Genomic DNA, 18704 nt, shown 5'->3' with positions numbered 1-18704 from the left:
TATTGTTTTAGTATTTGTTCATGTCTGTAAATGAGATCACAAATAACCACACAATTGAACACATATTTGAAAATACATCTTATTACATGATTAAGGCTGTTTTTAAAAGATAAAATTCCAATTAAAAGTTTATAGAATCCTAGTGTTTTGTGGAAGGTAATTCAGAAGCATCAGAAGGATTATGAAATTTGGGACTAGCCAGGTGCTTCTCCATGGAGGCCCGAGAGTTGTCATAGATTCATGCAGATGCCATTGGAGGTGATCTATATAGTGAGAGAGAACAAAGAGCAGAGGACACCCCAATGCTTTCTGTTTAATGGCCAAGCCAAACTAGTACTGAAGGGGCATGAAGAGGTGAGCCTGTGAACACTGTGACAAATGCCACCACTGTGAAAAGCTCCCCAGATCCCCCAATAAAGGGGAAAACAGGCAGGCCCTATCTGGGCAGGCTTGGATTGGCAGGACTGGGTTGGGGGGCACAGACACAGGCTGGAACCATCTATCCAGGGGCATACAGGAACGTTCCTTGGAGAGCTTCAGGAAGAGAAAGCAGGCATGTGGTTTTCTTGTTGGATGCGGCTAGATGGAATGGGAAGATAGAAAGCAACTAGGGTTAGGCCGGGCGCGGTAGCTCACGCCTGTAATCCTAGCACTTTGGGAGGCCAAGGCGGGCAGATCACCTGAGGTCAGGAGTTCGAGACCAGCCTCACCAACATGGTGAAACCCCCATCTCTACTAAAAATACAAAAGTTAGCCGGGCACGGTGGCAGGCGCCTGTAATCCCAGCTACTCGGGAGGCTGAGGCAGGAGAACCACGTGAACCCAGGAGTCGGAGGTTGCAGTGAGTCAAGATCACGCCATTGCACTCCAGCCTGGGGACAAGAGTGAGACTTCGTCTCAAAACAAACAAACCAAAAAACCAAAACAAAACAAAAAAAAGAAGTAACTAGGGTTCAAATGGCCCAGGGTTAAGATTTGGAGAAAGGAAAGGGAGAGCGGCCACTGAGAAAATGGCCCTATCTACAGTTGTGTAGGAATTTAGGACAGAGAAGTAACAAGAGTGATCTAAGCAGCACTGGAAACGTAGGGGAAGGGGGAGGTGTCGAGAGGGCGGCAAAGAAGACATGGAAAGGGCAGGGAAAAGAGCAGAGAATGTAAGGCCAGTGCAGAAAGAAACAAAGCAAAGGATAAGAAGTTCAAAGGCTGCTTCGAATACCTAAATCCATACAAAGATAGTATACGGCAAGTCTTGTAATGTAATACAAATGGACTAAGCAAAAAAGAGGCCAGAGTTTCAGCCTATAGAACTCAGGAAAGGAAATGAGAATCAAAGTTTATTGAATCTGTAGAGTGTTTTGATGTTAGTGAGTGTTGGAAAATTATTTGCCGGGGGAGGGAGGCTTTGGTTGCTTGGTGGTAAAGAACGCAAAATAATCCCTTTTATAGTAATCTGTGAAGATCAAATGAACATGTATATAAGTTCCCACATAAACATATGATAATATTACCAGAAAAGCAATAGTAAATCATATTCTCATCTGGGCTGCAGGAATTTAGGAGGATAAGAATGATCTGATTTATCAGGGATGGCCTAATGACATTTAGGAAAGAAGGAATGAGGAAAGGCAGGGTTTATGAGAGCTATACGGTCCTGAAAAGGAAATGAATTCCCTCGGTTTGAATTATAGGTTTGGGCTTTTCATGTCCTGCCCTTAGACCCAATACTATAGCTGATCAGCTGTGAAGAGCTGTTTGCTAGATGCTGGGCACTTTACCTCCCTAAAAATGGCCCTGTGAGAAAATATTCCAGCACACAGATTAGAAAACCAAAGCTTGGATAGGACATGCAAATGACCCAAGATTACACAGCCAGTAAATGGGGAGCGAGGGCTCAAGCCCTAGGCTAACAGTCACAAGTCCCCTTGGCAGCTGGTTTTCTAGGTCCTGGCCACATAGCACCCTGAGATGTTCCCCCATCCTTTTGGCCCTTTTGGGGGTGGCCTCTTCAAGTGGCAGTAATCTCTCCTTTGAGGGCATTTGGTTTTACGAACATCTTTAAAAGTGCCCTTCTGGTGAAAATTAAGTTAGCAGCAAGCTTGAAAAGTGTAAAAAGCTTCTTCCATCACTATGCAAACGAAGCAGAAAAACATTACATATTAAGATTTCTTGGACAGGAAAGCACTTTGTCTCCTACCAATCTCCTCCCAGACTAAAACCTCCTTGTGTTCAGGGGCTGTCTTGTACAAATCTTTGTATATACTACATCCAGCATAAAGTCATGTATGTCATAACTGGCTAATAAGATAGTTTTTATCAAATAAAGGCCCAAAGCAACTATATGCAAGAAGGCAGAGCACAATTATTTATAATACATAAAAACTGTATTTTTCAAAGTAGATCATCACTTCTAACACAGGTGATTATACAAATTCCATCTGCAATTCTTTCTGAGGGGAATAAACCACTATGGATGGAGGCAAAGCCAAGGACACATAGAATTTGAAGATGGAGGGAACGTTTTCTTGGCTTCTCTTCAGTTGTCTGATGTCACCAAAGAAGTGGGTTGGCTTGGATAAACTTATGACCTCTGTTTGGCCCTGTGTTCCTAAAAATTTTATGGGAAGGTCACTAATAAACTAAGTGTGTAAATGCTCCGCCATCTAGTTAAAAAATAATAACTGCTACTGGAGCTGACTTATACTACATATTTTCTGCAAAACACATTTACTTACCTTTCCTTCTAATAAAATACACCCAGCAATAAATAAAAGGCAGTAAAAAGTATCCATGGCTTGCTATTAAACTTGATATATGTTTAACAACAGGTTTTAGTATACTGTTTTTAGAAGGATCAGGTATTTGAAAATAAGCACCCAATGAGTACATGATTAAGATTGGCACCAAGGTACAAATATAATAATTTGTCCCAAGTACAGTGTCTGTACTCAGAGAATTTAAATGTCTACCCATGAAAGATCAGATTGCACTTTAAAATGGTCAATATACTGCTAGCAATGAGTCACTTGTATAAAAATGCCACTCTAAAGCACATTATAGTCTTTTTGGGGTTTTTTGTTTTTGTTTTTTCAAGTTTAAACTACAGTCTAGTGGATTTAGTTCTTCATGCTTTTGCCTAAGTGCTACAATGGCAGGGAAAGAGGCTTTGGAATTTCAGATTTTTTTTTCTTTCTTTTTTGTAAAGAAAACCTCTCAAGAGGGTATCCAACCACTTTTTGGAGACATAAACATATGTAAAGCAAAGTGACCCAAATAAAGGAAGAATTAAAAAAAAAATATATTTATTCTTCAATTTAGGCCAATTCTCTTTTACGGGCTCCTTGCAATTAGCTGGCAATCTTGTCCTGTGGGTCTGAAGGATTAAAGCAGGAGCAAAGAACAAAAGGAGTGTCTGCTACACTCCTCCATCGGTCCTTTCTAAACAAATCAGACTTCATCTCCTCCAGTGCCTCCTTACCACCTCATCTTCTTTCCTCTACCCATAATCCCTTAGGGGAAGGACTGTTAACATGTGAAAATGCTACGTAAATGAAATTCCTTCAGAATCAACACAGATTTGAAAATGGCTCCAGAAACTAGAGGGTGGTTTTTATGGTTTTCTCATTTTGGAATTTTGGGCAAAGCACAGCTTTTTGGATCACTGGATCTTTAAAAGATACATAACAGTAGGTAATAAGCCACCCAAATTAAGTTTACCAGAAATTTAGATGTACTCCTTTCCCTCTTGCAGACAATTGAGGACAATGCTCCCAGAAGGTCACTACATTAAAGGAAGCATAGCCTGGGAGCGGCAGACATGACGTCTATTGAACTTACTGTTCCATCTGTCACTGACATGGGCCACATACAAATCTCTAAAGTTCTTGGGGTCTTTAAGGCGCCTGCTAATCCATTCCTTTTCCTTTACCCTTAAGTCATTCCAAATAGGAGGATCTATTCTGTGTTTAAAGACTTCCAAGGAAGAGTCCACAATCACTCAGCCAAATATTTTGAAATTAATTTCCCTATAGCCTTTCCCCGTTGTTCTGAATGCACATTCCTTCCCATAGTCCTGCCATTCTGAAGAGGAAAATATTGTGGCCATGAGCTTTGAGACCTATATAAAGACAAAATAATTCTTAATCTACCCAACCATCAATTTTTTTTTTTTTTTTTTTTTAAAGATGGAGTTTCACTCTGTTGTCCAGGCTGGAGTGGCACAATCTCGGCTCACTGCAACCTCCGCCTCTGAGTTCAAGTGATTCTCCTGCCTCGGCCTCCCAAGTAGCTGGGGATTACAGGCACGCACCACCACACCCGGCTAATTTTTGTATTTTTAGTAGAGCAGAGGTTTCACCATGTTGGCCAGGCTGGTCTCGAACTCCTGACCTCAGGTGATCTGCCCACCTTGGCCTCCCAAAGTATTGGGATTACAGGCGAGATCCACCGTGCCTGGCATCCATGAAATTTTTTGATGAAAAACTAGTTCATAATTTATAAAGTGTAGATACAAATGTACTGCACTCAGCCTTCTTCTATGGAAGTGAAGATGAGAGGTAAGTACTTACTTACCCATTATCCTTACCCTTATTTGGAAGCTCTGTGGAACTACTGTAGGAACTAAGTCTATAATTCAATGAGGTGGATATTGGAAAAATATATATATAAGTCCAATACCTAAATCTAGAGAACTGCTAAACCAGAGAAGAGCTTACGGACAAAAATAGGTTATACAGATTCAACTCACTTCACAGTCTCAGGGACAAAATATATAATTAACCAAAAAGAGAAAAAAAGATGATTTTTGTCCTACACATGACCATGCATATACAGATCTAGGGCTTGAGAGTCACTGAATCAAACCTATAAAAATATGGACTGCTAATTTTGCTTCTTCAGGTCACCAGTGCCCACTATTTTCATCAACTATATAGTACCAAAGCATACTAGTAATAAATAAATAGTAATAAATACATAAAAAGTAATAAATAGTGAAAATGTTGATCCATCTGATTTCTCTGCAATCACTGATTTATCTGCAATCTGTTAAAATATAAACTGGAAATAAATCATATACATGAAAATCCTCAGTGTTGATAATCAGAGAAAAAAGCAACATATTAAAATGACATCCAAACAGAGGAACTGCCAAATACGGCCTATGAAATGTTCTGTCAAAATAAAGATGTGGAATCAGGAAGCAGATGGCAAAATTCTTTCTAAAACCTCACTTAAGCAGCATTTTAGGCATTTCTGACAGTTCTGCAAATGAAAAGAGGGATGTTTCATCAAGAGTAACTCTAGCCCAGTTATGATGATAGGTTGCACCAGTCCTCTCCAACTTGGCTCAGGAAGTATCTGGCTTAAATGGGGGAGGGGAAGTGGGAGGCAAAGCAGCTCTCAGCAGGGGACACGAATGCAAACCCAACTATGCAAGGTGAAAATCACTCTAGCTTTGGCATTTTGGTTGAATTTCATTAGAATCAGGCTGGGTTTCATAACCAGAAGGCAGAACTTCCTTAGTTTTATACTTTTTCTAATAATGCTTTGTCAGGGAAATCATCTTCTCTATTTTAGAGATTTCTTTTAGATTTTTGACCTGTTTTCTTGTTTCCCAGGCTGCGTATATCACTCGCGAACCTTCCAGACAACTGAAGAATAACAATGAATACTGCCATCTTCCCAGAGCTCCAGCACTAATCTTTGTTAAGGCTTAGAGGAAACCACTTTTCTCAGTTTTGATGTCTATGAATCTGCAATCACTAATGAATGGGGAAAAGTCTGTGAAACATTTATTTCCTACATCAATGATTAAAATTAGCTGTTTTTAGAGCAGAATGAACAACATACAAAGCAGGTTGGACGACATCTATTTCACACAATTGCATCTCAGTTTCTGACCTAGGTAAAATCCTGCATAAATGTAGGAGAATCCTCTATATTAATATGTTCTGTATTCAGGTTTAAGAGATGTGCATTTACATTTACATTTTATTAATTCATCAACTGATACTTAAGAATTAAAACTCTCAAAATCAGAAGACGATGCTTTTTGGTAAAGAAAAAAAGAAACAGGCTATAAGTAAAAACAGGTATAAAAATTAACACAAAACCTTTGAGTAATGTATTTATCCTATAAGCGGAAAATTCTGAGAATAATGGAGGACTGAGGGGATTAAAATGCCACGCAGTAGATGGACTATTTCAGATTTTATAGTCAGGGAAACTGGCTTCGGGAGGACAGCTCTCAATTCATGTACTTTACGTAAGAGCAGTTCTTTCTATAGGCCATAAAGTTGTAGGTGATACAATCAACTGGGTTATAAAATAGCTTCTTTTTAGAATGGAGATGATACAAAAATCAATTTCTACAACCATCATTTCCTCCTGAACACCTCTTTCACTTTCAACCTAAACTTACTCTCCCCTTTGGGAATTCCCAGTGTATTTCTTTGAGATGTCTTCCACATTAACAGTAGAGCCTACAAAGAACCAACATGCAGAGGCTACTTGTCAAAGGGCACTTTCTGTAGGTAGTCTAAAAGAACACAATTATACACATACACAAACGTGTACAGGTATACGCAAAAGGGAAAAGGAGATGCAAGAGTACTGTACTACTGCTTTAACAAATGCTCTCACCCAATCCACCTTATCCATCTTACAGGATAGAAACACTATTTAGGGTTTAAAATACGCAAAAAAACATTTTTTTTAAATATATAAACCATCTATGGAAGCATATTTTGCCTTCTGTTATGACCCTCATCATTCCTCAACTCATATTCTAAAAGCCTGAGAGGTGAAAATCTTCTGAACAGCTGAACCACCCACAGAACCTGAAAATTATTATACATTTTGCACATGATTAACCTATATTCACCACTGAGGTTTAACCAAGAACCAGATTCACATAGGTAATAGGGGTCACAACTACTTTTTCATAAAATATACCCTCCTACTGGCCAGGTGAGGTGGCTCACGCCTGTAATTCCAGCACTTCAGATTGCTTGAGCCCAGGAATTCAAGACCAGTCTGGGCAACATGGCAAAACCCTGTCTCTACTAAAAATACAAAAATTAACTGGGTGTGGTGGCACATGCCTGTAGTCCCAGCTACTTGGGGAGGCTGAGGTGGGATGGCTTGAGCCTGGAAGGTGAAGGTTGCAGTGAGCCAAGATCACGACTTTGTACTTAAGTCTGGGCAACAGAGCGAGACCCTGTCTCAAAAAAAAAAAAAAAAAAAAAAAAAAAATCTATGCATCCATCTATCTATACAAACACACATCCTCCTACTTTACATAAATGTACAATTCCATGTCTATTCTTAGCATGTTTTCAGTTAAAATTAGATTACTGATGTTTACAAGAAGCACGGTCAAATGATTTTTTTCATTTTATGTCAATGTTTACACGCCAACCCTCCAGAAGGTTGGGACAATGGGAAGAGGGCATTGGACTGGATGTAAAGCCTGAGGCCAGGGGTCTAGTTTTGTTAGGGTCTAGATTCTCACCCCAGAATCTTACCCCCTCAGGCAATCACTCAAATTGAAATATCACTTCTATTGGTCCTGATACTCTACTTCAGTAGTTATCTTACTTCTTCCTTTGAATGTAAACCATTTATAGCTAAGTAGAGTATATTTTAGTATAAGAACACAGTGAAGGCTGGGTGCGGTGGCTCACACCTGTAATCCCAGCACTTTGGGAGGCCGAGGCGGGCGGATCACGAGGTCAAGAGCTCGAGACCAGCCTGACCAACATAGTGAAACCCCGTCTCTACTAAAAATATAAAAATTAGCTGGGCGTAGTGGCGCGCGCCTGTAATCCCAGCTACTTGGGAGGCTGGGGCAGGAGAATCGCTTGAACCTGGGAGGCGGAGGTTGCAGTGAGTGGAGATCGCAACACTGCATTCCAGCCTGGGCGACAGGGCGAGACTCCGTCTCAAAAAACAAACAAACAAAAAACACATAGTGAAGACCAAACAAAATTTCATCTGTACTAATAATGACTCACGGTGGGCCAGAGCTCAAGTCAGTATGTAATAAGAAAGCAAAGGGAAAAAAAAAATCATTTACTTCACTAAAACTTCTGTTGTTTCTTTAAAACTCTAAACAAAATTGACCCTATAAGTAAAGATATTCATTCTTATCATTTTTTAACAAGCAAATTTTAATAATGCCTTTTATTTCTATACAAAGCAATGTAACTTTCTGAAAAAAAAAATGGCTATACAGAACCCTTTAAACATAAGAGTACAGAGTTTCAAATGGCAACAAGAAGTTAAGAAACATAGGGCACTGTGTCGTTATGGGTGAATCCTAGTCGTCCTGCAGCCCAAGGTCCAAGCTAGTTTACTCCATAACCTTAAGTAAATAACCGCGGTTCCTATGAATACCTTTCCAAAACCATTTATTATAAAAACTCACTCTTTATCCATTATCAGTATTAACGTATCAAAGTGAGAAAGAACATGGGAGAGAAAAATGACAATTAATGCAGCGTGAACATTTTCATCCTGAATACCAGTAAGGACTCTAGATGATATATGGTGCCCACTTCATGTGCCTCAAAAGATTTTAATTTTCAGAACATTTAAACGATTAAAGAGAAATCATCCTCTTAACTAGGTATTTTAAAGCGTATCAAACTGTAGGTTTACATTTGACAAAGTCTTATGGACCACCAAATACGTAGAAATAGGAATTCCAAATATTTCAGTTCGTTGAATATACAAAACCAAATAAGGCGCAAGGACCTGAAGAATAAACACAAAGCTAGTCTACAATGTTTGAGTTAACGTGATTTAGGACCCTTCTATTTTGTTCTGCAAGATAATTTACATAGTTCTCTCTGCTATATGTGTCCACATCTATTCAGATTGTTACAGATCTTTTCATTCTGGAACTTAGAACATTATAGGCCATACAAACTTCCAAACTCCATTGTTGCTATAATCTGATTCGAAATGGAAAAAAAAAAATCTTCAAAGAAACTTCCATAAAACTCCCTTCTCTATTATCAAATATAACTTCTGAAAAAGAACACACTACACTATTATTCATAATAATCCATAAACTGGTTAGAGGGATCATTGAAATGTCAATCCAGGAGGCTCCTAATTTTCCTGTTTGGCTTTCAAACAACCCACACTTCTGTGCATTATATACTGATATCCTGAACGACTTCCTATGCTGATTCTGGATATACATACACAGCAGATGAATGGACATTTGCAGCTATCAGACTGTGCTGGTGCTGATTTGTGTAGTAATTTGACCATCTTGGTGTATTTTTTCTTCATATTTCTTAAATAGAAAATGAAAAAAATCAAATGGCTGATATCATAAAAACAACTGGTCTCTAAATTTAAGATTGAGACAAGAATAGAAATCAGGAGAAATGAGGAATCTTTAATTTCAACTGACTGAATGCTCACAGGACTCAAACCAGTTGGTGCATTCAACTGAGAAAAAGAACAAATGAGAACATGCAGAAAACACTGGAAATAAATTATCTAAAATTATGTCTAAAAATTGAAGCATAATTAGGAATTCCAGAATGATTTAAGATCTCTACAACTCCTCTCTACTTTTTTAGTCCATTATCTTTTACAGAACCAATGTTCAAATACATTTTTAGGAATGTATTTAGTAGGATATAAGAGGACTTCTTGTGCTGAAAATGAAGAAAAAAATTGACCCAACATTAGTTTTTTAATCGCATCTACTGAATGATTCCCTAAGATTAGAAAAAATTGCCTTAGCAATCAACAAATGCAAGCCAAGAAATTAAGCACTAATCTACAGTAAAAGGTGCTACACAAGAGATATTTATTAATGTTCTGTTGTATTTACAGTTTTAACATAGCAAACCAAGATGAATTACCACTTGGGCAGAAAGCACATCATTCTACATTATAACCCACTGGTTTCTGCTAACACATTGTAAAAGCAAGTAGTACAGTATGTTAGGGATCATCTCAAAAGTTCCAAGCTACTTCTTTCTTTGCTCCTAAGTACCTAATCCTCTCCTTACTCCCAGACTTTGGCCTAATCACCAGGAGACAAAAGGAAAATAAGGGGGGTGGGGGTGGGGGTGGGGGTGAAGAACGCTAATTATAGAAAGAGTGTCAAGAATTACATTTTAGTAATTAAGCTTCATTTGTATCCTAGTGCTTTCTGTTTTATACAGTGACAACACCTTTAGAATCCCTTAGGTACAATAAGGTACCGCAGAATTGTGAATACAGGCTATAAAAAATTAATGCTTATTATTTACCAATTAAAGACTTATTTTTGACCACACCTTAAATGTATTTTTGCACTATGATTTTGCTTCCAGGTGTTCATACAGAATTGAATAAATTTCTAGATTAACTTGAACAGCAAATATGGATTATGTGCAAAAACACAGTCATAGCAAAAGTTTAACTTTTGAGAAAACCCCTTTAAAATGGCCAGCATTATACATATCTTACAATATTTAATTCCAAGTTCATTTTGAGATGGAGGATGAATAAAGCAAGACTGCCCCCTACCGACTACAGGGACATGGCTCATGCTACTTAAAATGACTACAAACAATATATAAGGCATTATTAATACATCACAGACTTGATTGCAAGAGCTTTTTCAAACATTAACCACTAATGATTCAATGATTACAGAATTCTGCATTAACTATTAAAATTTTACACCTAGGAACAAATAGAGAGAAATGATCTTTTCAACAGTACTTTATTTTTTTAAAGCAGGTGATTATTCCTCTGTGTTCTGCATCTTGATTCACTTCCTGCAGGTGTTCTCTTGCTTCTTGAGAGAGAATTCATAAATGCAGGAAGGCCTTTGCCAGAAAACATCTGCCAGAGAAGGATATTGAATATTGAAACTCTAGTTAGCTTGTTATTTTGGCTAAGAGAAGGATGTAGTCACAAAAGAAGGCAGGATGTTTGGAGACACAAGTGCATTTTAACATAGTTTTAAGATTACTGTATACTGACATCACGGTATTCAATAAACATTAAAATTTCAGTTCTTAAAGTTATCAAGGCCTCTAGAACTAGAAAAAACTGGAATGCTTTTTCTAAAAACTCCTGAAGTCAGGAGTCTCTCTTTCCAAACCTCTTAACAAAAGAATACAATGGAAGCAGTGCTACTGCGCATCCCACACTGAACGCTGTCAGCAATGACTGAAACTTGGGACAGAGAGCATAATCCAAGTGCACAAGTAATTTTCCTAATATACCTGAAGATACTGTTTACCCTAACAATTCCACTAGATATTGCACAAGGAAGCTTTCCAGTAAGGATGCCAACCATGTCATGCTATACCTCAACCGAGCATGGCAAAATTAGAAAACAAGGATAAACTCACAGGTACCACAAATACTTTTAAAAAACAAGTTTTCCTAAAAAGTCATTGTATTTGGGGCATGTTTCTCTTAAAATAATACATGTACTTTCAAACTAAATTTTAAGAAAGGAATATATCTGACTGAAATAAATGCTCTCGAAATAATGCCTACGCATTTTACTAAATGCAGTTTTCATCTAATACTTTGAGGCATTTCTGTACTAGTATATTGTTTTGGTTCTCATGAAAATAACTTGGGAAAAACTACAAGTAATTCCCTATATTAACAATAAAAGAAGAACTATTAAGAATAAAAGAAGAAACACTAAAGAGATACATTTACTGCTTAATAAACATTTATTGAGAAACTATTTTGTGGTACTCAGCAAGAAGTGAGAGTTGGATGGGCTCAAATATCGGCCTATAACTTACTTTTCTATCCTCCAAATTACTATAAAAGCCACAAGAAACTCTTCTATGTCTTTTCTTTCTTTTCTTTTCTTTTTTTTTTTTTTGGAGACAAGAGTCTGTCACTCAGGCTGGAGTGCAGTGGCGCGAGCTCGGCTCACTGCAACCTACACCTCCAGGGCTCAAGCCAACCTTCTGCCTCAGCCCCGCAAGTGACTGGCACTAACAGGCGTGCACCACTATGCCCGGTGTCTTCTGTATCTTTTCTGATTAGATTACTGCGTAAGTATTTAAAAGGCTGCCAAAATGGAGAGAGACTACAAACACACTGGAGGAAATGAACATATTTTAATATTATCAACATTTTTCCAAACTATAAATTCATTTGTGTTGTGATTTGAAGTAAACCACTGAAACTGATACAAGGACATCTTTTCTTTAGATTGAGAGACATAAGAGATTGAAAGACCTCGGAAAGCACAGAGACAGAGACACAAAAATATGAGGAACTCTAAAAGCCAAGCAGAAGCAAAAAAGAAAATTGGCAGATGAATATTAAATGAATGTTTTTGCAATGAGGCCAGACTCATTATAAACATAAATAATTTGTTTTATCAGTTTCTATATATTTTTTTTTTTTTTTTTTTTGAGACGGAGTCCCGCTCTATCACCCAGGCTGGAGTGCAGTGGCACAATTTCGGCTCACTGCAAGCTCCGCCCCCCGGGTTCATGCTGTTCTCCTGCCTCAGCCTCCCGAGTAGCTGGGACTACAGGCGCCCGCCACCACACCCAGCTGATTTTTTGTATTTTTAGTAGAGACGGGGTTTCACTGTGTTAGCCAGGATGGTCTTGATCTCCTGACCTCGTGATCTGCCCGCCTTGGCTTCCCAAAGTGCTGGGATTACAGGCGTGAGCCACCATGCCTGGCCCAGTTTCTTTTAATAGATGAAAACTGATGAAACAGTGACTAGTAGGTCAAAACAGAGTTTGCAAGAATATACAATATGGTACGGACAATTACCTGGCCACTTCCTTAGTTTATGATGCTTTAGCATAGGTAAACAGCTTTAATAGATCCCTCAAAGTCAAAGCCTGACACCCAACAAACATTAAAAATCCCTTTGCTTGTTCAGTAAGAGAAGTAAAAATTAAATTAAAATAAAATATCTCAAGAGGACCTAGAGAGGTCACCAGTGGGTAATCTCAATCACCACACAATCTCCAAATGAAAGACTGCTAGAGGGCACTGCTGTCTGAGACTTGGAGGCTTGAGTGGCAGTGTTACAGAAATGCTGGCAGTACACAAACTGAAGAACAAACAGATCTTAGGGACTCTGGACCGTATTACTAAATTATAGATCAGATCACTTTGTAAAAAAAAAAAAAAAAAAAAAGGAATCCAATAGCCTACAGATCATTTAATTCCAAGAGGAAGACAACCAGTTCTTCTTGGAGACATGTAAATTTTGTTTAGCAAAAATTCTACTGGAAACACCATTTCCCTATTATCTTGCTATCTTATAACATAGTCCAATAAGTAAACCTTTACCTTGAGATGAATTTCCTTTAATAAAATAAAAGAAGTATTAAGGAACAGGAGAAAAATTACAGAAAAGGAGAAATGAAAGTGTCTGTTATCACATGGAAAAAAATTAAAATATTTGATGCCTAATAGGTACAGCTCACTAGGTCACTTTTTTAATTATGAAGGCCCTAGCTCATTAATGCTAGGGCTCAAAAACCTCCTTTTTTCCTTCTATTTCAGATGCAGTTAAAATAAATAATTTTAAAATATATTATGCTTCATATGTACAAGTGCTTTTGGTACCACACAAATAGTGTTAGATATAACCAATCAACTGTGTTACCACCTTATTACTGTAGCTAACTCCTCATTCACCTGGCAGCATCAGAGGAGGTGGTAATCCATAAAAATGTATTTTCCAGTGAACTGGTAAATAAGAAAAGTATAAACACTTTACATTTTTTACCATTTCAGGTACAGATGTTTATAACAGGTATCTGTTTCTTCTGCTTCCTCAGTCACATACTTTTTTTTTTTTTTTTTTTTTTTTTTTGAGACAGAGTCTCGCTCTGTCGCCCAGGCTGGAGTGCAGTGGTGTGATCTTGGCTCACTGCAACCTCCACCTCCTGGGTTCAAGCGATTCTTCTGCCTCAGCCTCCCAAGTAGCTGGGATTACAGGTGCACACCACCACACCCAGATAATTTTTGTATCTTTAGTAGAGACGGGGTTTTGTCATGTTGCCCAGGCTGGTCTCAAACTTCTAACCTCAGGTGACCTGCCCACCTCGGCCTCCCAAAGTGCTGGGATTACAGGCGTGAGCCACTGCGCCCGGCCCAGTCACATACTTCTTGATGGCCACTGTGCACACCTTTAGCAGTTCCTTCTGGCATTTTGTTATGAAGTAGGAAAACAGATAACAGCTTATTAATACATTTTTCCCTCCCTTAAGCTTAAATGGACTCTGAAAAGGAACCTGAGAGCTGCCCCTATGATAGTAGTACATGAGCTTTAATGTTTAGCTTTTGTAATATCTACTTTGACTGATTAGAAGGAGGTGTTTTGGGATCACTTCAAGATTGGTTTATTTGTACTATATTTCAGGTAGCCTGACTAGAAAAGTCACTATTCTTATGCCCTTTTCTAGTAAAATGCCAAATCTTAGTACAATATGGAAAGTATATTATTTTTCTGTTTTGGTAAAGTTATTTTAAAAATTCTGTATCTGTATCTTTCTGGCAAAGTTATTTTAAAAATTCCCTACCTGTGTCTTTCTTCAGCTACCTTTTAATTGGTGACATCTCCATCAAAGAAGTAGAAGTCCATAAAAGAAAATAAAGCTTTTGGGAACACTGACCCCATTTTCTAAAGTTTGTGTTCTCTGATTGGCCATTCCCAGCTTTCTACTTGCATAAACTCTGTATTCTGATCCTTTTGATGGCTTCAGGTTGACAATGTCAAGAGAGGCAATTTAGCAGAGTAGTCACTAGTTTACCAGTGATTTTCCTCAGCAGGAGTTAGCCTAGGATTTTTAAACTACATTTTCCCTCTCCCCTATCCCTATCTCCCTAGAAGAATCACTGTACATGACAGTTAGAAATAAGATCAAATTTATCCTTTAGTAATTTGACTGCCTGCTAGGCAAAAACTCAACAACCTTCTGACAAAATTCAGAGCTCATAATCTCTACAACATGATAATTAACAATGCTGCAACAAAGAAATAACTGGCCAGGTGTGTAAAAACAGGAAAATGTAACCCAGAGTCAAGAGAAAAATCCATCAATACAAATAGACTTATCTAACCTGATGTTGGAATTAGCAGATAATTACTTTTTAAAAACTGTGATAAGCATAATAAAGAATCGATAGGGAGGAAAAAAATAAAGCTTTCTTACTTCACATGACGGTTTTCTAGTATGTCTTCTAACAAAATTAAACTAAATGTCCTCTGAACTAGAGAAAGAAGGGATTCTACATCTGGATCTGGACAGAGTTCTTACCCTTTCAGTGGACAAAGGGAACTCAGTCCCATAGGATATTATGGCTTTTCAGGTTCCCTCTGGGGATCCCTGGAAAATTAGTGAAGTCATTAGAATTCTAAATTCTGCTGTAAGTTCCTCAAACCCTTAATTTAGAGCTCTGAATTCTCTGGGTGTGTCAGGAATGATTTCAAATAAACCAGGGTATCACAGTTAAATAGAAAAGCAAATAAACTCTATTATGCCCTCCAATGGTGTGCATTCATTTACCTCTGAGAAAGTTTCTGACAACTCTTAACGTACACTCCTGAAGCACCAGCAGGCTCAACACTTGAATCTCCCTTAGTACTTCCTACAACATTATTATTACTAAGGACTGCCTACTTCAAATCACAACCCCACATACATAGTTTTAAATTTAGAATATCAAAAAACATTTCAGAAATTTTAGAAAATCCAAACAATAACAACAAAATTTTCAGTAAAGCACCAAACAACACAGGAAAACTGAGACGTTCAGGCTTTCTGTCAACTGGGCTGCTATTTCTTATGCTTAGAACCAAGATGAAGAAGGTATGCAATCCCCTAATAAAGATTCAGATTTCTTTCTAACTGAAGAACAAAGAGAATAGACAGAGGTGTGATCTCAGTCCATTTAGAAATTCAGAGCTAACATTAGACTACACCTACAGAATTGATGACTTTTTTTAAAAAGAGAAAGAAATCTGTCCCCTCAGTATATCTTGGGTGTCAATGTATTAGAGGGAAAATATTAGGTGATTTCAGCACCCTTCATAAGGAGGACTTGTAGCAACCCAACAGTACTAGCTTTGGAATCCTTGATAGGTAAAAGTTAAACCTAAGGCTAACTATAAATTCCAATCTGATATATAGATGAAAGATGACAATGGTAACTAAATAAAACTGCAAAGAATATCTAATAAGTCTCTTATGTTCTAGACATAAACAAAGACACATTGTAGGCATTAAGGCCCAGGCCAGTGGTATGAATATCCATCTGTGTCCAGACTGTGTGACTGAATTCAAATTCATGACATGCTACACATTTTCAGACATGCAATCAAAGATTCCTGTTTTTTAATAATGAATACTAGTTTTTTTAATAATGAAACTAACTTTAAAAGCAGTTTAAGCCTTCTTTACCTACATACATTTAATTATCCATGTAAAATGCTTAATATATTATCTGACACATGGAAAACTCCATGAGTGTTAATTTTAGTTTACTATACTATGCTTGAAAAAATGTTTGTTATATTCAAGAGGGTCTCATTATATGATTCTGTTGCCTAAAAGCTTTCAATGCTGTTCTATCACCTGGAAAATCAACTATGGTAGATGCTTTATTTTCTTGAAGCATACCTCCTGAGACCACCACAAGTCTTCAAAATTGAGAACCTCACGATTAGTATATGATTGCCTATATAAACTGACACTCTGCGAGTACAGAACAAATTCGTGCTCCACGTGGGCTTAGTCTTGCATTGACCCAACATGTCGCTGGCTCTATCAATTTCATGGTTCTACTGCAAATGGGCTTGGTGCTCAAGGTATCTGAGAAACTTGTTTCAACCTGACTTTTTAGCCTTGACCCTCAATACTCCTTTATGCCCCAATCAAGCTGCTATCCTCTGAACAAGCCCCATACTTCCCTATTTTTGCTCTTCACTCTGCCTCAGATGATTCTGAAATTCTTCCCCACACTCTCCACTATCATGTAAAGTTTATCTGAACTACACCACCTATCCTTTATAATGCTTTGCCTAAGACCTTCAACTGGACTGGCCTCTAGGTGGTGCTCAAGGTTCCACTCTATGATTAACACAGTCCCCAAAGCCCCAAGGAACAAACAGCCAAGTCCAAGAAAGCCTATTAGAACTTGCTACCACAGAGAGCTCTCTCTGGTGTACTCTTTCTCAAGATTCTCTACCTCTTCCTTCAGGCAGCCATTGATGTAAGATGGAGTGTCAGCCTCTGGGGAAAATCATGTGTGAATCAAAGAGCCTTGGCAGGGCTTAGTCCTCCTGTTCTAGGCAAGGGAAAAGGTCCTTTCTCCTCTTTTCTTGAGTTTGACCTTCCTCACATTAGAGTGGTATCAGAATGTCAACCTGAAGAAAGCCATGGGGAAAGCCTCAATGACAATTTTAAAAGATGGAAGACTTGGTGGGCTTGTCAGCAGCCCAGACAAAAGGAGTTCTTAAAGTACTACACAGTCTCTCCAGGTTCTGGGATTTAGGGGCAGAGATGAGTGATTAGGCCTGAAGGGTTCCTTCTGAATGTCATCCTCTGGAACTGGTGCAACAGTAAGCAGTGGCTTCAGGATGCTGGAATTCAGTCAAGCAGCCAAATATCCCAGCTTTCTGATGACTGCTAAGACCCCTGCCTCTTTCACACTGTCAAAGCATGAAGTAATGATTTCTCCTATGGCAGTTTTTCTAATTTGACTTTATCAATAGCTTTTTGTAAAAATCCCTGTTACTAGACAAGAAACTGCTAAAAGGCAGGGACTGTGCCTTCTTTACTTTCTCTATATGCCCCTATCACAGATACTTACTCTAAAACTGAACAGAAATCTACAATGTAGCACATGGTTACACTGGGACTAGAATAAATTTTTTCTTTAATACCTTTAATAAATAAAGAGAACTCTGGTCCTGGGGAGATTTGAGAAAGTTTCTGGCATCTTCCGAACTTTTGCATAATTGATAAATCCTCTGAGAAACAGGAGAAAGCCTAATTTAAAAAAGAAAAGTCATGAATGAATTTATAATTTCCATGTTAAGTCCCCTCCCCAGAAATCCCTCTCCTGATAGCGATACATTGTTATTTTTCTGCTAAAGGTAATCAAAACATTAGCAATTTCCTCCAGAATCTGCAGAGGATTTTCATACCAAATTATCCATCCTTCAATGAGAAGGTATAATGTAAGAGTCAATAGTGTCTTTTGCACATTCAGAATTGAATTGGTCTAAAAAGGAAATAAAAAATAAGATGGAGCCAAACATTTACATATGAAAGCCTCATTGAGAAACATCAAAATCTACCTATTGAGTTCCAAAAAAGCATTCCAAGATAATGAACTCCAAACAACAACAACAACAACAACAACAAAAAGAGGTTATAACTGTGTTTTTCTCAAGTAAAAAGAAAAAATGTAACCTTCCTTGTCATGGGCTGTTTTTTCTGTCGACAGTATATAATGTTGTCCACTAGATGTCAGGATCCCCTTATCTATTACAGCAATTCTCATCGTCTCAACTTGAAACTTTGTCTACTATTATTATTATTATTATTATTATTATTATTATTAACAGACAGGGTCTTGCTCTGTTGCCCAGGCTGGAGTGCAGCGGTATGATCACAGCCTCTGCAAGCTTGAATTCCTGGGCCCAGATGATCCTCCTGCCTCTGCTTCCCAAG

The 18704-nt window shown here is 38.1% G+C and overlaps 1 protein-coding gene and 1 long non-coding RNA gene across 2 annotated transcripts in view, besides 1 other annotated feature; one reads left to right on the top strand and one right to left on the bottom strand.

Moving 5' to 3' along the window:
• The window catches only part of LOC107986455 (uncharacterized), a 38651-nt gene extending 30474 nt beyond the window's left edge, over nt 1-8177 (top strand). The window contains exon 3 of the long non-coding RNA XR_001742907.3: nt 5616-8177. This is a non-coding gene — a long non-coding RNA (uncharacterized LOC107986455). The remainder of the gene's footprint in view (nt 1-5615) is intronic.
• Nucleotides 8148-18704, bottom strand: part of NDFIP1 (Nedd4 family interacting protein 1) — a 45662-nt gene continuing 35105 nt past the window's right edge. The window contains exons 7-8 of the mRNA NM_030571.4: nt 17912-18017; nt 8148-10857 (exon numbers count right to left, since the gene is read on the bottom strand). Coding sequence (NP_085048.1) covers nt 17914-18017 — 104 coding nt within the window. The 3' untranslated portion in view covers nt 8148-10857; nt 17912-17913. The remainder of the gene's footprint in view (nt 10858-17911; nt 18018-18704) is intronic.
• Nucleotides 17121-17210: an enhancer, noted in NCBI's record as "active region_23316". NCBI's record gives its function as "activates an Ori minimal core promoter by ATAC-STARR-seq in GM12878 lymphoblastoid cells {active_cell/tissue: GM12878}" and the evidence as "EXISTENCE:reporter gene assay evidence [ECO:0000049][PMID:35858748]".

Source organism: Homo sapiens, chromosome 5, assembly GCF_000001405.40.
Source record: "Homo sapiens chromosome 5, GRCh38.p14 Primary Assembly".
Taxonomy (NCBI): Eukaryota; Metazoa; Chordata; class Mammalia; order Primates; family Hominidae; genus Homo; species Homo sapiens.
Note: the sequence above shows the minus strand (reverse complement) of the source record. Positions and strands in the feature narration are given on the sequence as shown.